Below are 25,706 nucleotides of genomic sequence, written 5' to 3'. Positions count from 1 at the left end.
ACAACCGGCTTCCAGCTGGGGCTGGGGAAAGGGGGTTGGAGGGGTGCGCCCCCCCCCCACGCCCCTTAGGGGTGGGGGACGCGGGCTCAGAGTTCCAGGGACCCAGGAATGCCCCCCCGCCAGCCCCCTCGGCAGGCGGGGGGAGGGCTCAGCCGGGAGTTTGGCAAACTCCTCCCCGCGTTGAGTCATTCGCCTCTGGGAGGTTTAGGAAGCGGCTCCGGGTCGGTGGCCCCAGGACAGGGAAGAGCGGGCGCTATGGGGAGCCGGACGCCAGAGTCCCCTCTCCACGCCGTGCAGCTGCGCTGGGGCCCCCGGCGCCGACCCCCGCTGCTGCCGCTGCTGTTGCTGCTGCTGCCGCCGCCACCCAGGGTCGGGGGCTTCAACTTAGACGCGGAGGCCCCAGCAGTACTCTCGGGGCCCCCGGGCTCCTTCTTCGGATTCTCAGTGGAGTTTTACCGGCCGGGAACAGACGGGTGAGTGAGGAGGGCTGGAGACGGGATGGGGGTGGGGGAGCCGCCTGGAGACTGGGGGCGCGGCTGGGGTCTGGAGGGGACCAGGGCTTAAGTTTGAGGGTGGAGTTTGTAAGGAATAGAGCTGCAGTTGGGGGCCCTGGCTAGAGTTGGGGGCCCGCGCTGGAGTAGGGAGGGCACCGTGGCGGGTGAGGAGGGGCCCTGGCGTTTGAGATCAGTGGGGAGACATGTGTCCGGTGGGGAGAGGACACGGAGCTGGAGAAGTCTGGGCAGGGGTCTCCGGGCCAAGGGAGAGGAGAGCGCGTGAATGGAGAGCTGAGGGTCTCTGGCTGAAGTCTGTGGGCTGCTGGGACCTGGGGCGGGTGGGGGCGCAGAGGGGGCGCAGAGGCCGGGAAGGGCTTTTGGGGGCTCCAGGAGACCTCGGGATCCGTAGGGGCCATTGTGCGGCGAGAGAACGGGTAGAAGCCGAATGAGCTACGTGTAGTAGGAGGAAAGTCAAAGACTGAGGGGGTCGGAAGGTTAAATGGGGGCCAGCCTCATCCTCCCCTCCCCCCTCAACTCAGACCGGGGAAAGACCCGAGAGAGGACGGCGGCTCCCTCTCCTTTCTCCTCTGTCTCCTACTCCTCCCTCCGCCCCCAATCTCTGTTCAGGCGAGGGGATCCGAGAACTGGGGGCGAGTGCGGGGACCCTGGCACTGGGGCCCTGGGGCTGGGGGCGAACTCAGCCAAGGGCGGGTGCTGGGATGTGTCGGGAGGGGTGTGTGCGCGCGTGAAGGGGGGTGGGCGGTTTCCCTCTTCCTCTGGCTCTTGGGAGGAAGAGAAAAGCTGGTTTCCTGTAGCTGGTCGGCTGGAGCTGTGCTGAGACCGGGACTTCTGGGGCTGGGGTCGGAAGCTGGGGAGACGGGGGCTCCGTGGGGCCAAGAACGTCAGAATGAAGGACTCAGGACCCTGGAAATCTCAAAGGAGGATCCTTATTCCCAACTCAGCACAGTGATAAGCAGACCCGGACCCCGAGTGCCTAGAAAATGGGGTACTGACAGGCTTGGGAAACAGGAGTTAGAGTGGAAGCAACATTAGAACCAAGGGTGTCTGTTTAAATGTGGGATGGCGGGGAGATTGGGAAGCAAGAGAGGTAGGTGGTTGCTCCTGGGCTAGGCCATAGATGCCAGATTCCTGGTCCTCCACAATGACTGGTGTAATCCTTTTTCTTCTACATCTCTGAGCTGGGAGCTTCCTACTGCTCACCCCCACCCCAACCCCAGGATCTCAGGGTTTGAGGGGAATTCTGTCAGAAGCGACCTGTTTTTACACATGAGACAGTTAACTGATCTCTACTCAGTCCCTATAGTTTTTGGAGAAAAGGGGTTAATCTAGCTAATACAACTGGGGAGAAAGGCAAATTCTCCTTTGTCTGGAGGACTTGGGGATGGGAGAAAAGAAAAATGATTAGGCCCCGACTGTTGTTCTGGGCTATTCAAGGTCCCCACCCAACCCCCACCCCACCCCCCTGGCCTTTTGCCCAAACCCCATTGCATCATCACCCTGGCCTGGAGCCTCTGCCAGGCCTGGTCTCCCCCAGGTTCCCTCAAACTTCTTATCACAGCCCTAATGGAGTAGAAAAGAGGGAAGGAGGAAGGGGATGAGGTCTCCTCCCGCAGATCAGAGTATCTAGTTGTCTGGCATTTAACCTTCTCTTTACTCCCCCCTCCCCTAAATTTCCCTTTAAAACACTCCTCTAAAACATCTGGACTTCACACATTCCTGGTCCCCTAGGTGTCTGTCTGGCCCCTGGCCTGATCCTGTAGTCCCTAAAGTCCTCTTCTAAAACAGGACCTAGCTCTCTCATCCCTTCCCCCTCCCCTTCTGCTCATCTCCCCTCCCAAGAGAACCCAGGTGTCCAGCTTGCACTCCTTCCCTCTCATTTCCTATTTACAATACCCTCTTACAGTGGAACATTCTACCTCCCCAGTGACCTCCTCCCACCACAGCTAGGCCTTCACCCCCTTTCCCACAACACAAGACAAACACAGCCCCTCACCTACAGCCATTGCCAAAGAGGGAGAGCCTCAGTGTTCTTGTTCTTCCTGCATCACCTCTTGTGGTGAACACCAAAATAGTATTAAAGGACAGGGCGAGCACCAAAGCAGTTAGATGGTAGGAAAGGGCAAAGCTTTCAGTCAGACAGAGGTAGGTGTGAGTCCCCACTACTTACTAGTTTTTTGCGTGGTACCCTAGTACCTAGGGAGAGGTATTTAAGCTCTTGGAGCCTGGTCTTCCCGTGAAAATCAGACACCTGACTAACGGAGTTCTGAGGACTAAATGAGAAAACATATACAAAAGGAACCTGGTCCACAGAGAGTGATCAATACATGGGCGGCATGGTTTTTATGGGGTAGCTGTTTCTGTTTCTGGTTCTCTCCTTCCTGGCTACCGCCTAGTTCCCTCATTTCTTACTTGCTTTGAGTATTTGCTTATACTAGTGATAGTAACAATAGTCTGTCATATTCCTTTAGCACTTTCATATCGATTTTTCCATTGGATTGTAACAAAAATCCTTGTGTTAAAGCAAAGGAAGCATTATTGCCCCATTTTTAGATATACAAAAACTGAGGCTGGCCAGGTGCAGTGGCTCACGCCTGTAATGCCAGCACTTTGGGAGGCGGAGGTGGGTGGATCACCTGAGGTCAGGAGTTCGAGACCAGCCTGGCCAACATGGTGAAACCCCATCTCTACTAAAAATAAAAAAATTAGCCGAGCGTGCTGGCACGCACCTGTAATCCCAGCTACTCGGGAAACTGAGGCAGGAGAATCCCTTGAACCTGGGAGGCAGAGATTGCAGTGAGCTGAGATCACATCTGTACTGAGCGACCCCAGACTGGGCGACAGAGTGAGACTCCATCTCAAAAAAACAACAACAAACAAACAAAAAATAAAAACAACTGAGGCTTCAGGAGTCATAGAAATTTTGAACCAGAAGTTAGTTTAGGAAACATTCAAGGGAAATCCATCATTTTATGCCAGAGAATCCAAAGCTTGAAGAGAGGCAGTGACTTGGCCCAGGACACTTGAAAGCTTGAGAGGCAGGCCAGTCTCAGCTCAGCTCCTTGTTCCCTTCTGCAACTGCCACAAGTGGAGACAGCTGTTCTTCCCCAGCCAATCATACATATCCCTTGTGAATGCACTAGGGGACCCCAAACCAGGTGTCCTCCTCTGGCCTGGCCCATGCTGCTGTAGGACCTGTAGGAGCTGGGCGCTGGTCCACTTGCTGCTCTCCACCCCTGACCTTGTCAGGCCAACAGAGTCAAACAGTAACCCAGTATTGAACTGGGACTTGGTTAATCAAAAGCTGGGGAGATAGCAGATATGAGAGGAGGGAATAAGTTGGCAATGGGGTAGACTAGAATGCTGTCGTAGAAATCAGGATTCCTGATTTCTGCTTCATATTCTGGGAGGGATTATGAGTGACCTAAGCCCATTACTTAACTCCTCTGAGATAGTTTTCCCATCTGCAGAATGAGAACATGGGACGAGGTGAGCAGCTTTGAACTTTTTCTTAGGGAGTGTCAGAACGAGGCCAGTCTGCCTTTATGCCATGTGGCCTCAGGCACCTACAGTGAAGTCTTAAAACCAGTGGATGCTCTCTACAGTGCCTTCTAGCTGTGGTAGTCTGTGTCTCCAAGGACCAACCCTTCCATTTCTGAGGCTTCAGAATAAATTCTGGCAGTTATTTCTTCTCTCAGACTCTATTTCAGAAAAGTGTACCTGCCAACCTGCATTTAGTAAGAAATAATGAATTCCTTTTCTCATTCTTTTTATTTTTATTTTTTATTTTTTTGAGACGGAGTTTCGCTCTTGTTGCCCAGTCTGGGATGCAATGGCGCAATCTCGGCTCACCGCAACCCCCACCTCCCTGGTTCAAGCGATTCTCCTGCCTCAGCCTCCTGAGTAGCTGGAATTACAGGCATGTGCCACCACGCCCAGCTAATTTTGTATTTTTAGTAGAGACGGGGTTTCGCCATGTTGGTCAAGCTGGTCTCAAACTCCCGACCTCAGGTGATCTGCCTGTCTCAGCCTCCCAAAGTGCTGGGATTACAAGCGTGAGCCACCACGCCTGGCCGTTGTTGTTGTTGTTGTTGTTGAGAAGGAGTCTCGCTCTGTCTCTGGACTGGAGTGTAGTGGCGTGATCTCGGCTCCCTGCAAGCTCCGCCTCCCAGGTTCATGCCATTCTCCTGCCTCAGCCTCCCTAGTAGGTGGGACTACAAGCGCCCGCCACCACGCCCGGATAATTTTTTTGTATTTTTAGTAGAGACGGAGTTTCACCATGTTAGCCAGGATGGTCTCGATCTCCTGACCTCGTGATCTGCCCGTCTCGGCCTCCCAAAGTGCTGGGATTACAGGCGTGAGCCACCGCACCTGGCGCTTTTCTCATTTTTTATTAACCAAAAACATCTATAGCTGCCAATCAGAGTTTCTGACCAGCATGAGATAACCAGGTTCCCACATAAGTTGATATAATTCCAGCCAAAAGCAAATACACTTGAGGTTTTAATTAGCCTAGGCCACCTTATCTGGTAAATGCATGATTTCCGTTAGGCTTTCTGAAATATTGAAAATAGCACACGGACCCTCCATTGTTACCTTCTTAGACCCCTAAAAGTGCCCAACTGCTGCAGGATTTAGGAAGCAGGAAAAAGATGTGGGAAAATAAGGACAAACTAGCTTGCATGCCATCCATGGCACCAGTCACCTCACTTGGCGTGTTGGCAGGGGAGGCACTATTTATTGGATTGACTTTAGGTTGCTGGGATGGAAGGGCCACTGCCTGTCCAGGAATAAGCCATGGGTAGTGTGCCGGGAGGAAAGGAGGCCTAGGTCTGTGTCCCTTGCCTGCATGCCAGGTATCCTGAACCATCGCACAGCCGGAATGGATATGCCCCTGGCTTGTGGGCTTTACAAGCTTTGTAAACTCTCTGTCTTGCAACCCTGCTAAACTCCAGGCTACTTCCTCAGGCCACCCCAGGAGTGTCAGGCTCAGCTCCTCTCCAAGAGCAGTGGGTGTTGGAGAAATTGGCAGCAGGAATAGGGTCCCTTGGCCTTAGCCCTGTGCTCCAGGAAACTTTGAGAGAACCTCTTCTTCACCCAGAGGAAGAGGGAGAGGGTATTGCCCAAGTCCACAGTTAGTGCCTGAACCAGAACTCTTGGCTCCTGGTCCAGTGCTCCTTTCACTGCTTCCTGTACCTCTGCTGTTCTGGTCTAGTTCAGGTTGGTGGCCCTTTCTGCTTTCTAGAGCCTGAAGGCAGCAACCAAGTTCTCTGGGGGCTGCCCCTGCTGAGAGAGGGGTCTCCTTCTCTCACATCACCCAGCCCTAGGGCGGTGCAGCCAGACCCCACAAGTGGATGTCATGCCTAAGTGAGAAGGGTGGGGCCTGGCACGGAGGTGGGGGTGTGGGAGACAAACGGAGAAGTGAGAGGTTGGAAACAGACAGGAAGCCACAGGCAGTAAACATTTCCTGTCCCCAGAGTAACGGAGACTGGCACCTCCCCTCCCCACCCCTCCTAACTTCAGGAGCTCTCCCTCTTCAGCCTACCCATCTCCTATTCCTCTGGACCCTGCCTTCTCTCCCCTCCATTCTCACCACTGGCCCTCACAGACCCCTCCTCACTCTCCTCTTCCGTCCCCTCGGACCTGTCCTCTCTGCTGCTTCCATCCCCTATACCTCCTGGGCCACTCCTCCCCGCCTCAGTATACCTGGTCTTCTTGGAAAATACCCCCAGCTCTTGTGACCTCTACCATAATCCTTCACTTTGGGCCTTCTTGCCTAGTGAGAAAGCTGAGGAAGGTATTCAAATATCAGGGAAAGGGTAGGTATTGGACGGGTTGAAAGCTGAAAGTGAACAGAAACCAATAGAGATGGAGAAATGTAAAATCTGAGATAGAGAGATAGGATTCAAAAACCAAAACCAAGAGAGCAAGCAGTCATAGGGGCAGAGGGACAGAGGGATTGAGAAGCAGTGCCAGAGGCAGACACAGAGCAGAGCAGAGGCCAAGGCTGGCAGGAGCACTGGTCCAGAGGCTGGGTCGAGTTGCCCAGGCTGCCAGATACAAGTCCTGGCAGGAGACCCTTAGGGGAAACCAAGAGAGCCAAGAGCGGTGTGGAGGTCTTGGAGGCAAGAGACCTAGGGATGAATGAGGCAGAGCTGACGGCAGGAGGACTGCCCAGGCCCTTAGCTATGACCACCCCATTACACAGGGCAAACTTCCCCTCATATCAGGGGGAACAGAAGCACTGTGTCCAGAACTGGGACCCCGGTAGAGCAGACTCTGAATTCAGTCAGCTGGGGGTGGTCTATGGGAAAGGGGTTCAAGGGCTGAAACACAGACCCAGCCAGGAAGGGGAGGCCCACACCAGGGCCGGGGTGAGGGCAGGCCCAGGCCCAGTGGAACAATCTGTTTTCACTGTCCTCCAGCTCCTCTCTCCACTCCTGCTGCCTGATTTCCAAGACTCACATTTTCCTCCTACACGCCCCAAGGCTGGGTGGCTGGGCAGCCGGATGCCTGGGTCTTGGCCCAGGGAGGGGATTTGGCTTGGGAGGAGAGTATATAGGCTAGATGAGAGACCCTGAGGCTCCACAGGACCTTGGCGCTCCAGAAGCTATACATCTAATCTCAGCAGGTACGTAGAGGAGAGGGAGAAGCCAGGGGTACAGGCTCTGGCCCCTCTTCCCCTTCTAGAAATTGACTGTGGTTCCTCCTCTCTTTATGAACAGGATAAGGTAGGAGAGGACAGAGAATGGCGGGAGGAGGGGAGGGTTGTGTTAGTGACAGCGGCACATGGGGACCGCCTGACTCCAGCCTGTGCCTCTGGCATCTGTGGCATCTTCTGAGATATAAATACAACGCAGGGGGCATCTACTCCACCCCCAGCCAGCCCCAGCCTAGAGGCCTGGGTCCTTCCTGCCTCCAGACACCAATGAAAAGCTAGGAGCCATCCTCAACTGCCTCGCTTTTCCCCCCCACAGGGTCAGTGTGCTGGTGGGAGCACCCAAGGCTAATACCAGCCAGCCAGGAGTGCTGCAGGGTGGTGCTGTCTACCTCTGTCCTTGGGGTGCCAGCCCCACACAGTGCACCCCCATTGAATTTGACAGCAAAGGTAGGCCAGTGAAATTCAGGGAGGGACTGGGGGGTGGGACTGCAGCCTGGGGGCAAGGCCTGGGTGGGGCCTGGGGCGAGGGGTGGAGCCTGCTGGAACCCCGGCCACGTGACCTCTCAGCACCAGCTCTGGTGCTCCAACTGCTTACAGTGGATCCCCATGGCACTCACTCCACTCTCCCATCCAGCCCAGCCCAAGGAGGACGGGCATGATTCAGAAACATGTGGCTCTCATTTCCCCTGAATCACCCACAATTCTGGGAGGCCAGGGCCGTAACACAGACAAAGACAGGGAATGTTGCACAAACTATTCAGTTCCTTTAACTAAGTACTGACTAAGTGACAGTGCATGACAGGCACTGTGCTGGTGCTGCAGGGACTGAAAGATGACTAAGCCACTGCCCTCAAGGAGCTCAAGGTCTGAGTAGACACAGATGGATGGGAGGAAGATGGAGACTAACAGCTATCAGTTGCTCTGTGCCAGGCCCAGTTGTGAACACTTTACATATATTAGTTCACTTAATCTTTTCAACAACTGTATAAGGTATTATTATCCCCATTTTCTAAGTGAGGAGACAGAGGGTAAGTAGCTTATCCAAGGTTATACAGCTAGCAAACATTGGAGAGAGGATATGAACTAGGGCCATCTGTCTCCAGAAATAAAAACTGGACAGGCTGGGCACGGTGGCATGTGCCTGTAATCCCAGCACTTTGGGAGGCCGAGGCAGGAGGATCACTTGGTCCCAGGAGTTCAAGACCATCCTGGCCAACATAGTGAGACCCTGTCTCTACCAAAAACATTAGACAGAGCTGGGTGTGGTGGCTCATGCTTGTAATCCCAGCACTTTGGGAGGCCAAGGCAGGTGGATCACCTGAGGCCAGGAGTTTGAGACCAGACTGGCCATCATGGCAAAACCCCGTCTCTACTGAAAATACAAAAATTAGCCGGGCATGGTGGCACTTGCCTGTAATCCCAGCTACTTGGGAAGCTGAGGCACAAGAATTGCTTGAACTCAGGAGGCAGAGATTGCAGTGAGCTGAAATCATGTCACTGCACTCCAGCGTGGGCTACAGAGAAAGACTCTGTCTCAAGAAAAAAAAAAAAAAAATTAGCCAGGCATAGTGGTGAGCACTTGTAGTCCCAGCTACTCGGGAGGTTGAGGTGGGAGAATCACTTGAGTGATTCTCCGTCACTGCAGCCAAGGCTGCAATGAGTGCTACTTGCCCCACTGCCCTGTAGCCTGAGTGACAGAGCAAGACCCTGTTTAAAAAAAAAAAAAAATTAAAATAAACCTGGTCAACATGGCAAAACCCCATCTGTACAAAAAACACAAAAATTAGTTGGGTATAGTTTCCACCCACTTGGGGGGCTGATGTGGGAGGATCACTTGCACCCAGGAGGTCAAGGTTGCAGTGAGCCATAATCACGCCACTGCACTCCAGCCTGGGCAACAGAGTGAGACCCTATCTCAAAAAAAAAAAAAAAAGGAGGTGGAACAAGATGGTGTTAGAGACACAGTCCAAGTATAGACAAAGAAGTGCAGCCAAAGGGTTACTCTCTTGGGAAATAGCCACTGTTCCCCACCATCCTCCTGCCCCTGCTCCACAGCAGGCATCCTTGTCTCAGTTGGGTGAGAAAGCAGGAACCTTGGGGAGGCAACTCTAGAAAGCCCAGGTTCTACGCGGGCGCAGTGGCTCACGCTTGTAATCCCAGCACTTTGGGAGGCTGAGGCGGGCAGGTCATGAGGTCAGGAGTTCGAGATCAGCCTGACCAACATGATGAAACCCCGTCTCTACTAAAAATACAAAAATTAGCCAGGTGTGGTGACGCGCACCTGTAATCCCAGCTACTGAGGAGGCTGAGGCAGGAGAATCCCTTGAACCAGGGAGGCGGAGGTTGCACTGAGCCGAGATCATGCTACTGCACTCCAGCCTGGGTGACAGAGTGAGACTCCATCTCAAAAAAAAAAGAAAGCCCAGGTTCTGTGTGCGTGTGCGTGCGTGTGTATGTATGTGTGTGTGTGTATGTGTATGTGTGTAGTGGAGAGATAAGTCAGGCTACACAAACAGACTACACAAAGCAGAATTAAGCTCCTTACCAATTCCACACTCCCAGCGAGTCATGGAGTCTCAGGGCTTGGAAGCGTTTGTTGGGTATCCCCAGGCTGAGGGTAGGGGCTGCCCTAGAGCTCAAATGTCCATGGCTCAGTAAGACTCCCCCTTCTCACTTCCACAAGGCTCTCGGCTCCTGGAGTCCTCACTGTCCAGCTCAGAGGGAGAGGAGCCTGTGGAGTACAAGTCCTTGCAGTGGTTCGGGGCAACAGTTCGAGCCCATGGCTCCTCCATCTTGGTGAGGGGCCAGCAAGCTCAGTGGTGTGGTGGCCAGGGGATGGGCAGTGGTTGGGTAAGGCCGGGCCTGGAGGGAGGGAGGAAGGGCCTTATTGGACTGAATCTGAAGGCCCCTCCTCCTGGGCCCTCCCAGGCATGCGCTCCACTGTACAGCTGGCGCACAGAGAAGGAGCCACTGAGCGACCCCGTGGGCACCTGCTACCTCTCCACAGATAACTTCACCCGAATTCTGGAGTATGCACCCTGCCGCTCAGGTAGGGGCAAGAGGGGGCCTGTGCCCCATGTCTGCCTTCTCATATACTTGAAGTGTCTCACATACTTAGGGTTGACTCGCACCTACCATGTGCCCCCATGAGGTTCTAGGTTGCTTAAGATAAAGGCTAACCCAGTTCGTTAGCCTTTATGCTTACTGTCTGGTCCAGGAAGGCCCTTTCTCTGGTTCTCTCTCCCACCTCCTTCCCTATGCCCTCTCTTCTTTCCTGGATGACCCATCTATGCAGGGCTCATTTTCACCACCTTCTCCCCTCACAGATTTCAGCTGGGCAGCAGGACAGGGTTACTGCCAAGGAGGCTTCAGTGCCGAGTTCACCAAGGTGAGAGAGTGGTCTGGGAGAGAAGGGGCCGTGGGTGGTGGACATGGGGGGATTGGGACCAGATGTTGGACTCCCCTCCTTTCACCCACAGACTGGCCGTGTGGTTTTAGGTGGACCAGGAAGCTATTTCTGGCAAGGTAAGTCCTGTCTCTGCCATTCTTTTTTTTTTTTTTTTTTTTTTTTGAGACGAAGTCTCACTCTGTCACCCAGGCTGGAGTGCAGTGGCACAACCTCTGCTGCCCAGGTTCAAGCGATTCTCCTGCCTCAGCCTCCCAAGTAGCTGGGATTACAGGCGCCTGCCACCGCGCCTGGCTAATTTTTGTAATTTTAGTAGAGAAGGGGTTTCACCATCTTGGCCAGGCTGGTCTTGGACTCCTGACCTCGTGATCCACCCCTCTTGGCCTCTCAAAGTGCTGGGATTATAGGCATGAGCCGCCGCGCCCTGCCTGTTTCTGCCATTCTTTAAGTCCCCTGGCACATAGCCTCCCACCCTACTCCCAATTCTCCTCTTCCTTTCCTGAAGCTTACATGCCACCACCCTCCCCATGCTTCCCTTTCTTGAACCAGACTTCTGAAATACTACCCAGTCAGCCCCCAGAGTCCCAAGCCCCCTCTGCCACTTCCTCTCCATCTACTCCCTCTTCATACTCTCTCCAGGCCAGATCCTGTCTGCCACTCAGGAGCAGATTGCAGAATCTTATTACCCCGAGTACCTGATCAACCTGGTTCAGGGGCAGCTGCAGACTCGCCAGGCCAGTTCCATCTATGATGACAGCTACCTAGGTGAGCAAGCAAGTGGGGAAGGGATGGCAGAGGGAGAACCTCAAGTGCTCCTGTCCCCACTCACCCCCTCGCCTCCCCTCTCCTACTCAGGCATCCCCAGCACCCCTGCCATACTTGTCATGTGCCTGCTGACTATGAAGGCCCAGTAGGGGTGGGGAAGGGATTGGTGGATAGGCCAGAGCAGAGGGGTCCTCAAAGCAGGAATCCTAACATCCACCCACCCTGTCCCCCAGGATACTCTGTGGCTGTTGGTGAATTCAGTGGTGATGACACAGAAGGTGAGTGTGTCCCCAGGCTGGGGCCAAGGGAGGGGGATGGTTAGAGGCACAGGGCCAGAGAGCCCATGAACTTGGCCACTTACCATTATCTGCTTCCCTTTCCCCACCCTTAGGTCACAACTTTCTCTTCTCTTTGCAGACTTTGTTGCTGGTGTGCCCAAAGGGAACCTCACTTACGGCTATGTAAGACCCAGCCTGACCCCTCACTTCCTCTCCTCCCCTGCCTAATCACAAAGAACCGTGCATGGCAGTTTGCAAGGGCTCAAAAAGGTGGATCAGAACATGGGCTCTGGAGGCAGACTGGCATTCAAGTTCTGGCACTTACTCTGGCAGAATCATTCTGCTCTTTATTCATACTCTGCTTCCTGCTGAACCTCTCTGAGCCTTCTTCTTCTCTGTATACTGGGATAACAATCGTTCTGACCTCACGAGGCTCTGGCAAGGATGAAATGAGAAAATGCATGTGAAAGTACTCAGTGAATTGTTAGGCAATGTACAACTGGCAGATGTTATTATTAGACCAGGACAAGTGCTTTTTAAAAGATACAGATAAGAGTGCCATCGGATTTCATTCAATTAACAACATTTATTAAGGCAAGGTAAGAGATAAGATGAATAAGGTATCATACCCCATCTTATAAGATGCTTCTAATCAAGTATGTTAGATAAGACACACATACAATTATGATCTAAAGTGGAGCAACTATTCATTCTCTACTCAGTGCATCAGGCACTATCTATTCATGATTTCTATTCTTCACAACAAGCCTATGGGGTAGATATTATCATCTGTATTTTGCATATGAGAACACTGAGGTTCTAAGAGACCAAGTAAGTTGCTTAAGATCACCCAGTTAGTAAGTAGGTTTAAAATCAGGTCTCTCTTAATCCAAAATCAGCATTCTTTCTGCATTTTGGTAAACTTCAGCAAAGTGGATACAGTGGCATAGCAGTTTAGGGGAAAGAATAATCTCCTTTCTAGGAAAAGGATGGTAACAAGTTTGGGGAGTCAGGAAATAAAAATTTTAAATTTTTAAAAAGGAAGAGGACAGATGAGAGAAGGTTCTATGAAGGTTCAGCAGAGATGAGGCAGGAGGGCATCCTGTGCAGGAGCATGAATGAGGTGGAAGAAAAGGAAACAATTTCAGCCCAACTTAGCAGACTCATGAGCTGATTGAGGATGAGTAGAATATGGAAAGGTTGAGCAAAAACAGATAGGTTAGGGCCAGATTCTCCAGAGCTTTGGAGGACCAGCCAAGAAGTTGAGACTTTGGGCAGTGACTGCAGGGGGCCACTGGATTTCCAAGCCAGAGGTAGCCTCCTAGATCTGCTGGGAGAGCTGGAGGCAGGGACATTGTCAAGACATCTGTCCAGCAGTCCTGGGAAAGGGCTCACACCAGGATTCAAGAGGCCTGGTGGGGCCAGTCACTAAGGGAATATAGGGGAGAAATGGTGTTTGTGGTTCGGGGGACTGGAGGATGAGGATGACTTAGGTTTTGAACGTGATGGGTTTGAGGCACCAGCACACATTCAGTCATAATTATTATTGAGTGCCTACTACTCACCAAGCATGACTTTAGGTTCTGAGGAGAAAGCAAAGAACAAAATCAAGTTCCTGCCCCTATTGATCTTACATTCTAGTGGGTAGAGAGGGACAACGAACAGATAAATACAAAATCTGTCAGTGGTTGGTGATTGATAGGGAGAAAAATAGTGAAGCAGACATAGGGTGGAACTACCTGGCATAGAGGTGGGAATATGAGGGCAAAGCTGAAGAGGGAGCTAGGGACAGTGGTCTGCGTCTCTAAGGAATGCCTGCCCCTGGGTGTCCTGTACACATCTGTTCTTTAACCATGGGATATTCTGGGAGTCCAGGACCAATGGGCCTATCTCTTCATCTCCCAGGTCACCATCCTTAATGGCTCAGACATTCGATCCCTCTACAACTTCTCAGGGGAACAGGTAAGGATACCCCTCAACCCCACCCCAGCTTGGCCTCTGTCAACGAAGCCCCAGCCCTGACCTAATAATGTCAGCCCAACTTCCCAGCCCCTCTTGATCCTGTGGATTGAACCTTCTAGTTCTGACCCAGCGCTGCCCCTTTGTCCTCCCCAGATGGCCTCCTACTTTGGCTATGCAGTGGCCGCCACAGACGTCAATGGGGACGGGTGAGTGGTGGGAAATGAGCGCACTGTGATACCCTCCCAGAACCAAGAGGGAAGAGTGGGAATGGGACAGAAAATGCAAGGAGAGTTTCTCCAGGGCTTTTTCTCTAGACTCTCGCTCATACCTGCATTCCCCTTGCTCAGGGACAAGGAAAGAGCTGAGAGCTGATGATCAGAGACCTCAGGTCTTCTGACGTGATGGAATTCAGAGTGTCCGGGATTTCTAGCACTAGGATTGGGGTGGGGTGGCAAGACAGGGTATCGAGATGCCTGGGTTTGCCCTTCCCCTCAGGCTGGATGACTTGCTGGTGGGGGCACCCCTGCTCATGGATCGGACCCCTGACGGGCGGCCTCAGGAGGTGGGCAGGGTCTACGTCTACCTGCAGCACCCAGCCGGCATAGAGCCCACGCCCACCCTTACCCTCACTGGCCATGATGAGTTTGGCCGATTTGGCAGCTCCTTGACCCCCCTGGGGGACCTGGACCAGGATGGCTACAATGGTGAGTACCATGGGCTCAGAGAGTGAAAGAGGAGGCAGGGGCCCAAGTCAGAAGGGATTTGGGGAGAGGGCATCTGTCAGCTAAGATACCCAGACCTCCACGACTTCCCGAGGGGTTAAAATCCCACTGTCTGGGTCTTGGGATTTGAAGATTAGAATATAGGGACTGACAGATGGGAAAAAATAGGATCCTAGGTCCTGGGGTCTGGTAGTAGAGATTAGAGCCCATGGATTCCTGGCCTGCTGACTAGTGTGTGTTCTGTGTCTTCCAGATGTGGCCATCGGGGCTCCCTTTGGTGGGGAGACCCAGCAGGGAGTAGTGTTTGTATTTCCTGGGGGCCCAGGAGGGCTGGGCTCTAAGCCTTCCCAGGTTCTGCAGCCCCTGTGGGCAGCCAGCCACACCCCAGACTTCTTTGGCTCTGCCCTTCGAGGAGGCCGAGACCTGGATGGCAATGGATATCCTGGTGAGTTGTGCCTGAGGCCCCTTTTCACCTTAAAATTCCCTGGTCACTGACCCCTACTCTCTCTTCTGCACCTTTCCTTAAGTTCCTGGGTGCAGTTCTGGCTAATTCCAACAGAGGGCGCTGTCTTCTCACTTCAACCTCCCTGAGCGTTGAAACCAGGAGGGGTTAGGAAGAAAGGATCCTGATCTGGGGCTTGCTGTAAGAGGTGATTTCTTGACTTCTTACAGATCTGATTGTGGGGTCCTTTGGTGTGGACAAGGCTGTGGTATACAGGTATGAGCTCCAAAGGGAGATGAGGGGACAACCTGGGTGGACTGGAACTGGAAATTTCTCAACAGAGCTGAGGTTGGGAAAATCAATGCAGAGGACACACATTCTGGCGCTTGGGCATCAGTTTCCTGTGTCCAGGTTACAGAGGAGTCCTAATTCTATTGACCCCACATTCACTCTTGGCAGGGGCCGCCCCATCGTGTCCGCTAGTGCCTCCCTCACCATCTTCCCCGCCATGTTCAACCCAGAGGAGCGGAGCTGCAGCTTAGAGGGGAACCCTGTGGCCTGGTGAGCTGGTGCCCAGGAAATTGCAGAGACCTGAGCCTGGGAGTGGGCAGGGGCACCAAGTCTGCCTTAAAAAGGGGAAAATGGTGGTGTCCTAGTCTGGGTCTGGCTGGGAGATAGGTAGAGGATAGGATGTCTGTTCCAGTTGGATTCACCAGCTTTCTTCTTGGTCTCTCTCCAGCATCAACCTTAGCTTCTGCCTCAATGCTTCTGGAAAACACGTTGCTGACTCCATTGGTGAGGGAGACTGCCTGGATCTCTCAGGCCCTAGGACAGAGAATGAAGGGACTGGGGACCTGGGGACATTTCTTCTCTCTGAAAAGATGAGGAAAGACAGGCAGTTTCCCTTTATATGTCCCTGGCTTCAGGTTTCACAGTGGAACTTCAGCTGGACTGGCAGAAGCAGAAGGGAGGGGTACGGCGGGCACTGTTCCTGGCCTCCAGGCAGGCAACCCTGACCCAGACCCTGCTCATCCAGAATGGGGCTCGAGAGGATTGCAGAGAGATGAAGATCTACCTCAGGGTATGGCCCAGAGGGCGGGGTGTGGACTGGCCAGGGAGGGTGGCCACACAGAACTGAGGGCACCTCCTGAAGGGAAAAAGACTGGGGGACTCCAGTGAAGGGCTTGGGACTCTTGTAGGGGCTGAGAAAGGGAGACCTTCTGTCAGAGGAGCTGGGAAGCAGGCTGCCAGGGCCTCTGAAACAATGAGGATGGTCGGAATTGGGCCCTAAGCAGACAAAGGGAGATGAGAGAGGCTGAGGAGCAGGGCCACTAAGTCTCCAGAGTCCCCTGACTCCGTGAACTCTCTCCTCTGGCCCCAGAACGAGTCAGAATTTCGAGACAAACTCTCGCCGATTCACATCGCTCTCAACTTCTCCTTGGACCCCCAAGCCCCAGTGGACAGCCACGGCCTCAGGCCAGCCCTACATTATCAGAGCAAGAGCCGGATAGAGGACAAGGTGAGGACAGGGCAGGGAGAAGGGACCTGGGAAGACAGAGGCCTGGGTATTGGGGGGGCAGGGCCATGGAAAGAGAAGAGCCTACAGCCCAGGAATGGGTCTAAACTTCCCCTCTCAAGGCTGCCCTGCTCCCCAGGCTCAGATCTTGCTGGACTGTGGAGAAGACAACATCTGTGTGCCTGACCTGCAGCTGGAAGTGTTTGGGTAAGTAGGGCTGACGGTAAGCTAGGGAGCTCCAGGTGCACCTGGCACCTGAAAAAATCAGCTAGGGACATACTAGCTGTGTCGCCTTGGGAAGTTGCTGAGCTGCTCTGAGCTTTAACTCCTTTGTCTGTATAGTGGGAATAGTAGCATTTATTTCTCAGACTTTTTGGAAAGATTAAATGAAATAATCTACATAAAAAATCTAGCCTAGTGCCTGCCATAGAGTTAGAACTCAGTAAGCAGTGTCTATTGTTACTTTATTATTACTCTTTTTTTTTTTTTGAGACGGAGTCATGCCCTTGTCACCCAGGCTGGAGTGCAGTGGCGCAATCTCGGCTCACTGCAACCTCCGCCTCCCAGGTTCAAGCGATTCTCTGCCTCAGCGTCCCAAGTAGCTGGGATTACAGGTGCCTGCCACCATGCCGGGCTAATTTTTTTATTATTATTTTTAGTAGAGACAGGGTTTCATCATCTTGGCCAGGCTTGTCTTGAACTCCTGACCTCGTGATCCACCCGCCTCAGCCTCCCAAAGTGCTGGGATTACAGGTGTGAGCCACCACACCCGGCCTCGTATTACTACTCTTATAATGGTCCTTTGTCCTGGTTTGAGGATTAATTCACCAATGTCCCTTACCCTCTGTGTCCCTTCCAGGGAGCAGAACCATGTGTACCTGGGTGACAAGAATGCCCTGAACCTCACTTTCCATGCCCAGAATGTGGGTGAGGGTGGCGCCTATGAGGCTGAGCTTCGGGTCACCGCCCCTCCAGAGGCTGAGTACTCAGGACTCGTCAGACACCCAGGGGTGAGATGAGACTCTCGAGTGGGATTTGGGAGGATACCCCTCTAGAGGGGACACCAAAACCTGACCAGTGCCCACCCCATCTCCAGAACTTCTCCAGCCTGAGCTGTGACTACTTTGCCGTGAACCAGAGCCGCCTGCTGGTGTGTGACCTGGGCAACCCCATGAAGGCAGGAGCCAGTGTAAGTTTGGGATGAAAGAGGATGGGACAGAGGGAGAGCAGACCTGAGGGCGGTAACCAGCCAGCCGAGAGCACAGCTGTGAGGTGCGGAGGGAGGGTGAAATACACAGTCTAACTGCCCTCTTTTCCTCTTTTTCTGTCCCCAGCTGTGGGGTGGCCTTCGGTTTACAGTCCCTCATCTCCGGGACACTAAGAAAACCATCCAGTTTGACTTCCAGATCCTCAGGTAGGGAGTGAGTGTGTCTAGGCTGGGGCTGAGCTGGGGACGGAAGGGAGGGCTGGGCGCCATTCTCACTGGCTGCACTCCAGCACCTCAGTCTTGCCTCCATCCCACAGCAAGAATCTCAACAACTCGCAAAGCGACGTGGTTTCCTTTCGGCTCTCCGTGGAGGCTCAGGCCCAGGTCACCCTGAACGGGTCAGTGCCAGGCAAAATGGGGTCTTTCTGAGAGGGGACACAGACTTCTAGGGAAGGATGCATATGGGGTTCCTTCCACCCTCCTCTAAACCACCCTCCTCCTTAGTGTCTCCAAGCCTGAGGCAGTGCTATTCCCAGTAAGCGACTGGCATCCCCGAGACCAGCCTCAGAAGGAGGAGGACCTGGGACCTGCTGTCCACCATGTCTATGAGGTAAGGGGGGAAGGGGCAGGGCCAGAATGAATGATGGGAAAGGAGGAGCTAATATGAGTGACAGATGGCTGGAACCCATGTGAGGGACTGAGAGAAAGAGAGGAGGGAGGAGTAAGTGATATGCAAAGGCATGAGGCAGAGTCCTGTGAGAAACAGCCAGAGGAGAGACAGGCCAATTGAGTGGCTTGGAAAGAAAGATGGAGCCCCCTCCAAAAGTGTTGGCTAGAGAGGATTTCACCTCTGCCCATTGCTTCCCTGCTTCATCTCTGAGATAGGAGCCTGACAGCAGGGTATAGTGGAGCCATGGTGATCCAGGGTCTCAATGGGGCAGAAGCATTCCCTTCCTTCTCATGATGATTGTGCTCTTCCCTCCTCAGCTCATCAACCAAGGCCCCAGCTCCATTAGCCAGGGTGTGCTGGAACTCAGCTGTCCCCAGGCTCTGGAAGGTCAGCAGCTCCTATATGTGACCAGAGTTACGGGACTCAACTGCACCACCAATCACCCCATTAACCCAAAGGGCCTGGAGGTGAGATCCTGAACACTGGCATGGGGAAGAGGAGCAGATTCAGAGGACCAAGGCTGAGGGGTTGGGGAAGGTTGCTGGGGGCCTGCAAGAGGCAATGAGGATGTGCCTATAGCTAGGGTTGAGGGTCACAAGGCCCAAAGTTACCTCAAAATCCTCTGGAGGAAAAAGGACTTTCATCCACTGTGTTTCTTTCTGCCTGAACTATCCCTTCTTTGTTTCCCGGCATACCCCTAGGGCCCAGTTATGTGCCACCTCCTCTAGGAAGCCTTCTTCAAACCTTTTCCTCTGGGCCCGAATGCCTGTTTTATAGTTCATTTACTCATTAACATCTAATTAAATAAGTGACTGTACTGAACACTGTTAGGCCCAGGAAATATTGCACCAAACAGAACTGACAAGGTCTCCACGTTCATGGAACTTACATTCTAGTGAAGGGTGATAGACATAGAAAAGAAAAAGAGAAGGAGAAAAATTAACAGGGATTGAAAGGTGATGAAGTGAAGAGTTAATAAGCTGTAGGGACACTATTTAAATTGGATCATAGAAAAACCTCTTGAAGACGTCACAGCTGAACTGAGGCCTGAAAGATAAGGTTGAACCTGTCTATAAGACTCAGGGATGAGCATTCCAAACCAAGGGAACATCCAGTGCAAAAACAGGAACACAGACCTAATTATTTACTTAAGCATCTCCTCCAGTGTGATCTCCAAGAACCAAGTTTTCCTCATTTCCATATTTTAACCCTGAGCTCAGTGCCTTGCGCATAGGAGGTGGACAGTTGGATGAATCAATAAAGAGATAGATGAAAGAATAGGTTGAAGCTGCTCTGGAACCCAGGTGCAAGCTGACTTAGAAGCTGTAATGAGATGGGAAAGGGGCCCAACACTTTCTTTTATAGTTGGATCCCGAGGGTTCCCTGCACCACCAGCAAAAACGGGAAGCTCCAAGCCGCAGCTCTGCTTCCTCGGGACCTCAGATCCTGGTAAGTCAGGCAGGGAATGAGGTGTGGACCAAAGTGTTGAGTACTCTGGGGTTCTCAGGGCCATCACAAGGGCAGAACACCAGGTTCAAGCTTCTTTCTTCCTAGAAATGCCCGGAGGCTGAGTGTTTCAGGCTGCGCTGTGAGCTCGGGCCCCTGCACCAACAAGAGAGCCAAAGTCTGCAGTTGCATTTCCGAGTCTGGGCCAAGACTTTCTTGCAGGTGAGGGAGCCTTACCTCAGCCCTGACCCCTGACCTTTGGGCCTGCTTAGACTGACCCACCCCTTTCTCCACTGCAGTAGCCACCTCTCCTTTGGTGAATGGGACCCAGCACTCCAGCTCCCCTTCCTTGCCCTTGTCTAGACCAGGCTGTATGTCCTTGGCGCCATCTAGTGGCCACAGTGGGAGCAGCAGCTTCCCTTTCCTGGCCCATTCAGAGGAGGGAGGGCTGGAGGGAGACCAGTGTGCAAAGAATGATAGAAAAACAGTAAGATGGAAGATGAATCCATAGTGGAGAGGTAAACACATGTAGGAATAGTAAAGAGCAGTCACTTCTTGAGCACACACTGCAGGCTAGGCACTGTCCTGGTGTCAAAGCACATTAATAATTTTAAAAAAATTTTTATTGAACACGTAGTCATCTAATTATATATTATCAAGTTACAATTATTCAGTTACACATTTATTATCTCATATAAGGAACATCAAGAGAAGCTCACGGGCCAGGCACAGTGGCTCACACCAGTAATCCCAGCACTTTGGGAGGCCAAGGTTGGCGGATCCCTTGAGCCCAGAAGTTTGAGACCAGCCTGGGCAACATGGCAAAACTCCACTTCTACAAAAACAAAACAAAACAAAAATTAGCTGGGCATGATGGCACATGCCTGTAGTCTCAGCTACTTGGGAGGCTGAGGCAGGAGGATTGCTTGAGCCCAGGAGGTGGAGGTTGCAGTGACCTAAGCCCACACCACTGCACTCCAGCCTGGGGGACAGAGTGAGACCTAGTCTCAAAAAAAAAAAAAAAAAAAAAAGAGAGAGAGAGAGAGAGAGACTCAGGAAGAATGAGCCCAAAATAGGGAAAGATCACAACCCCAGCCAGACGATGGGGAACCCTATGTCCTCTGGATCCCAAGAGAGGATGTGCTAACCAACTTTCCCCTACCCACAGCGGGAGCACCAGCCATTTAGCCTGCAGTGTGAGGCTGTGTACAAAGCCCTGAAGATGCCCTACCGAATCCTGCCTCGGCAGCTGCCCCAAAAAGAGCGTCAGGTGAGTCTAGGGCCAGAGGACTGGATGAGGGAATACAGGGCTCAGAGTGCTGGAACAGGGCTGGGACTTGGGTGAGGGCTGGCCTTGGTATTGTTAACAACTGTTGAGAATGTACTATGTGCCAAGCACTGTGCAGATGCCAGAGACAGAGTGGTAAGCAAGATCAACATGGTATCTTTGCTCCTGGTGTTCACAGTCTCGTGGAACAACACAGTGTTCCAAGTGTGGTGATATTTATGAAAACACATAATAGGAACACCTGAACCCAGTCTAACTGGGTCAGGGAAGGCTTCCTGGAAGAAGTGATGTTCAAGCTGAGACCTGAAGAATAAATAGGAACTAACCAGGCTAGCCATTCAGGAAAGGGATATCCTGGGGAGAGGTGAATAACAGATATGAGGCTGAGCGCAGTGGCTCACACCTGTAATCCCAGCACTTTGGAAGGCCAAGGCAAGTGGATTGCTTGAGCTCAGAAGTTCAAGATCAACCTGGGCAACATAGTGAGATCCTGTCTCTACAAAAAATACAAAAATTAGCCAGATGTGGTGGCGCATATCTGTGGTCCCAGCTACTCGGGAGGCTGAGGCAGGAGGATCGCTTGAGACCAGGATGCAGAGGTTGTAGTAAGCTGAGATCACACCACTGCACTCCAGCCTGAGTGACAGAGTGAGACTCTGTCAAAAAAAAAAAAAAATGGATATGATATGAAAGCCCGAAAGTAAGAGACAATATTGTACATTTTAGGAACTTCAATTTTTAAGTTCAGAATGCTGTTAGTTCAAAATAAGAGGTGGAGTTGATCTGGAACCCAGACTCAGACATTGGCACCTAATCCAGGCAGATCCAGGACTATATTTGGGCCTGCTCCAGACCTGATCCTGGAGGCCCAGTTCACCCTGATTTAGGAGAAGCCAGGAATTTCCCAGGACCCTGAAGGGGCCATGATGGCAACAGATCTGGAACCTCAGCCTGGCCAGACACAGGCCCTCCCTGTTCCCCAGAGAAAGGGGAGCCCACTGGGCTCTGCAGATCCAATGACAAGTGGGGGCCAAGTATAGGGTAGAAAGAACTTCTGAGCTTTCATTGACTTCACCCAACTTGCTCCCCAGGTGGCCACAGCTGTGCAATGGACCAAGGCAGAAGGCAGCTATGGCGTCCCACTGTGGATCATCATCCTAGCCATCCTGTTTGGCCTCCTGCTCCTAGGTCTACTCATCTACATCCTCTACAAGGTCAGCCACATCCTGCTTGTGACTTGGCCACCCTCTCATCAGGCTCTGCCCTTGACCTGGCACAGTCCCAAGTATCTACCTCTAGACCAGTTCACCAGCCATGTGCCCCCACCTCTGTCCTGGCTACATGCATCCCATCCTAACCCTTCCTATAAGATCCCCCCCTTCATTCTATAGCCCCTAGCTTAGAAAGGGTCCTCTTGACTCAAGATGATAAGTTTGCCTATACTTGCAAAATCATTGGAACCCAAAGATGACAAATACGTGGCATTTGTGCTGTCAATTTCTCCAAAAATCCATGGCAGCCATCACTAACCTAGAAATGGCTACTGATCATCTCCTAGAAGTGGCTTCAGAATCTCTCTCAAGAGGCAGCCATGGCCAGGTGTGGTGGCTCACACCTGTAATCCCAACATTTTGGGAGGCCAGGGTGGGAAGACAGCTTGAGCCCAGGAATTCAAGACCAGCCTGGGTAACACACTAGGACCTTGTCTCTACAAAAAAAACACAAAGATTAGCCAGGTTTGGTGGTGCGTGCCTATAGTCCCAGCTACTCTGGAGGCTGAGGTGGGAGGATCGCTTGAGCCCAGGAGTTTGAGGCTACAGTGAGCCATGATCATGCCACTGCACTCCAGGCTGGTCAACAGAGTGAGACCCTGTCTCAAAAACAAACAAACAAACAGAAGCAGCCACTACTAAGCAATCAGACTTGGCATTTGAGTTCAAACCTATCTGCCATTTCTGGCTTAACTGGGGAATTTTAAAGGCACTGGTAAAAGATACCCCCCATACAAAATCACCCCCAAGTTTGGTCCTCCTGGGTCCATTGCACAACTTAGAGGGGTAGTCCTAGCCTGAATTCAGAGGCCACTTTTGCAGGATGTAGAGGTTGGAGGCACTAGAGTCCTCCTTATTACTTCTTGGAATAAGAGCTGTGGAGAAATGGCAGCCATAGTACCTAAACTCTCCCTCTTTTCCCCTTTATCAGCTTGGATTCTTCAAACGCTCCCTCCCATATGGCACCGCCATGGAAAAAGCTCAGCTCAAGCCTCCAGCCACCTCTGATGCCTGAGTCCTCCCAATTTCAGACTCCCATTCCTGAAGAACCAGTCCCCCCACCCTCATTCTACTGAAAAGGAGGGGTCTGGGTACTTCTTGAAGGTGCTGACGGCCAGGGAGAAGCTCCTCTCCCCAGCCCAGAGACATACTTGAAGGGCCAGAGCCAGGGGGGTGAGGAGCTGGGGATCCCTCCCCCCCATGCACTGTGAAGGACCCTTGTTTACACATACCCTCTTCATGGATGGGGGAACTCAGATCCAGGGACAGAGGCCCCAGCCTCCCTGAAGCCTTTGCATTTTGGAGAGTTTCCTGAAACAACTTGGAAAGATAACTAGGAAATCCATTCACAGTTCTTTGGGCCAGACATGCCACAAGGACTTCCTGTCCAGCTCCAACCTGCAAAGATCTGTCCTCAGCCTTGCCAGAGATCCAAAAGAAGCCCCCAGCTAAGAACCTGGAACTTGGGGAGTTAAGACCTGGCAGCTCTGGACAGCCCCACCCTGGTGGGCCAACAAAGAACACTAACTATGCATGGTGCCCCAGGACCAGCTCAGGACAGATGCCACACAAGGATAGATGCTGGCCCAGGGCCCAGAGCCCAGCTCCAAGGGGAATCAGAACTCAAATGGGGCCAGATCCAGCCTGGGGTCTGGAGTTGATCTGGAACCCAGACTCAGACATTGGCACCTAATCCAGGCAGATCCAGGACTATATTTGGGCCTGCTCCAGACCTGATCCTGGAGGCCCAGTTCACCCTGATTTAGGAGAAGCCAGGAATTTCCCAGGACCCTGAAGGGGCCATGATGGCAACAGATCTGGAACCTCAGCCTGGCCAGACACAGGCCCTCCCTGTTCCCCAGAGAAAGGGGAGCCCACTGTCCTGGGCCTGCAGAATTTGGGTTCTGCCTGCCAGCTGCACTGATGCTGCCCCTCATCTCTCTGCCCAACCCTTCCCTCACCTTGGCACCAGACACCCAGGACTTATTTAAACTCTGTTGCAAGTGCAATAAATCTGACCCAGTGCCCCCACTGACCAGAACTAGAATCTGTGATCTCATGTTACTCTTTCCAAACCCATCCTGGAACCAAGCGACTTGGTGGAAAGCAGATGCCTATTTCTCTCATGGCTTCTTTCCACTAGGAGCCAGAAGTATGACCCCCCAGAAACTGTGAAACTAGTTCTAGGCTCCCTTCTTAGGTGAAAGAGGTGATGGAAGGAGAGAAAGCAGGGCTTGACTCCTCTGCCCCTCCCTCATCCCCCATCAGACCTGGTCCCCAACACTCCCAAGGGAGAAGGGAAAGGAACCTCTTCTCTTTGGGTTTGAGGATTAGAGCAGAATGCAAAGGGGGAGGTCCAAGGTGGAGGTGGGGGAGGATGGTTCAGAAAATTTACCAGGCTTCCCTAAATCAGAATAATGAAATGAGTTGAGAGGAAAAAGCCACGGAACTAAATTAGAAGAAAGCCCAGTTAGGTTTTTGTATTGCTTTGTTTTCATTGCTACTGTGTGCTGGTAGGGGGTGTTAGTTTGCATACATTATCACATTTAATTTCTCACAGAGTTCTGTGAGGTTGGTACTATTTATCCCATTTACACAAAGAGAAACTGAGGCCCAGAGAGGTTACATAACTTGTGCAAAGTCACACAGTGAGTGGCAGAACAGAGTGAAACTCAGCCTTATCTGGCTGGGAAAGCCCGAATTCTTAACCAACATGCCACAGGGTTCAGATCTTTGAAGATAAATCTCGCAAAGTGAGGGACCCTCAGGGTTCTCTTTTCTCCTCAAGGCCTGTCCTAACGGGCAGCAAGAGGGAGAGCAATTGCGGTTGTTGGAGACAAAGATGTCCCTGTCAGGATAGACTAAAATTCAGCCACCAGAGGGCAGCATAGCCACAAATTTATGGGAAATTTGGGAAGGTAGGGTATGAGGTCCACCTCACCCTCTTCCCCCATCACCAGGACTATTCTCATTAACTCAGGCTTCTGCCTAGCAGGGCCTGCATCACCTAAAAATATCCCTCCTGGGAGACCAACCCTGGACCACACTCCAGTCTGTGACTTCTTAGAATGCTCTGAGTCAGGAATGTCTTCACAGAACCCACAAATGAAAAGGGGCTGATGGGGTAGAAGAGACAGGATGAGACAAAGAACCCCCTAGCATTTCTAAGAATGGCAGCCGTGGCATAACAAGGCACCAGAAATTCTAGAGGGAGGAAATCCCATACCTGATACATTAAGAGGAGTCCCCTTCTTGGGAGAGAGGTGGGGGTAGAAGCAGCCAAACTCCAGGGGCCAGACCTAAAATGTCTTCCACTGTTGTGAGGAGGAAATAAGGAAGGGAAGTGGGCTGTGAAAATTGGGCTGGTGTCATGGGTGTGTCACTGTGTAGGGCCTGTACTTTTGAGAGAGTGACAAGTTCTTACCCGTGGATGCACAATATAAGGAAGAAATTCCTTGAGCTCAGAAATGCCACAGATGTAATCTAGTATGAGCCTCTCTTTCCCTGAGCTCTAATTCTCAGACTCCTGGTCTAAGTTTCTTCTCCCAAATCTCCCAACC

At 52.3% G+C, this 25,706-nt stretch overlaps 1 protein-coding gene and 1 long non-coding RNA gene across 4 annotated transcripts in view, besides 3 other annotated features; one reads left to right on the top strand and one right to left on the bottom strand.

The window, feature by feature from the left end:
- Positions 1-25,706, bottom strand: part of GPR84-AS1 (GPR84, ZNF385A, ITGA5 and GTSF1 antisense RNA 1) — a 113,340-nt gene that overhangs the window by 47,577 nt on the left and 40,057 nt on the right. The window contains exons 2-3 of one of the 2 annotated variants that reach the window (NR_120486.1): positions 11,948-12,057; positions 9,719-9,904 (exon numbers count right to left, since the gene is read on the bottom strand). This is a non-coding gene — a long non-coding RNA (GPR84, ZNF385A, ITGA5 and GTSF1 antisense RNA 1). The remainder of the gene's footprint in view (positions 1-9,718; positions 9,905-11,947; positions 12,058-25,706) is intronic. The other variant, NR_120487.1, reaches the window with a different exon arrangement.
- Positions 188-24,193, top strand: ITGA5 (integrin subunit alpha 5). 2 transcript variants are annotated; one of them, NM_002205.5, is made up of 30 exons: positions 188-473; positions 7,490-7,620; positions 9,857-9,969; positions 10,102-10,222; positions 10,500-10,561; positions 10,653-10,698; positions 11,219-11,344; positions 11,578-11,622; positions 11,762-11,805; positions 13,528-13,584; positions 13,738-13,790; positions 14,080-14,288; positions 14,560-14,751; positions 14,979-15,024; positions 15,208-15,309; positions 15,488-15,543; positions 15,675-15,829; positions 16,130-16,267; positions 16,404-16,471; positions 17,124-17,274; positions 17,361-17,453; positions 17,599-17,678; positions 17,789-17,869; positions 17,976-18,081; positions 18,459-18,608; positions 19,507-19,590; positions 19,696-19,809; positions 20,756-20,857; positions 21,967-22,089; positions 23,078-24,193. In NM_002205.5, the coding sequence occupies exons 1-30, from the start codon at positions 256-258 to the stop codon at positions 23,159-23,161; spliced, it is 3,150 nt and encodes a 1,049-aa protein (NP_002196.4). In that variant the 5' UTR covers positions 188-255; the 3' UTR covers positions 23,162-24,193. The 2 variants fall into 2 exon arrangements, with proteins under 2 accessions (NP_002196.4, XP_024304738.1); XM_024448970.2 differs by lacking the exons at positions 188-473; positions 7,490-7,620; positions 9,857-9,969; ... (9 more) ...; positions 14,560-14,751; positions 14,979-15,024 and adding an exon at positions 14,881-14,956.
- Positions 6,439-7,220: an enhancer, noted in NCBI's record as "H3K4me1 hESC enhancer chr12:54806018-54806799 (GRCh37/hg19 assembly coordinates)". NCBI's record gives its function as "activates a minimal SCP1, AML or CMV promoter by ChIP-STARR-seq in primed H9 embryonic stem cells {active_cell/tissue: H9 hESC(primed)}" and the evidence as "EXISTENCE:reporter gene assay evidence [ECO:0000049][PMID:30033119]".
- Positions 7,221-8,003: an enhancer, noted in NCBI's record as "H3K4me1 hESC enhancer chr12:54805235-54806017 (GRCh37/hg19 assembly coordinates)". NCBI's record gives its function as "activates a minimal SCP1, AML or CMV promoter by ChIP-STARR-seq in primed H9 embryonic stem cells {active_cell/tissue: H9 hESC(primed)}" and the evidence as "EXISTENCE:reporter gene assay evidence [ECO:0000049][PMID:30033119]".
- Positions 7,656-7,795: a silencer, noted in NCBI's record as "silent region_4530". NCBI's record gives its function as "represses an Ori minimal core promoter by ATAC-STARR-seq in GM12878 lymphoblastoid cells {active_cell/tissue: GM12878}" and the evidence as "EXISTENCE:reporter gene assay evidence [ECO:0000049][PMID:35858748]".

This window comes from Homo sapiens, chromosome 12, assembly GCF_000001405.40.
Source record: "Homo sapiens chromosome 12, GRCh38.p14 Primary Assembly".
Classification (NCBI taxonomy): domain Eukaryota; kingdom Metazoa; phylum Chordata; class Mammalia; order Primates; family Hominidae; genus Homo; species Homo sapiens.
The sequence above is the reverse complement of the archived record's forward strand: the minus strand, read 5'-3'. Positions and strand labels throughout refer to the sequence as shown.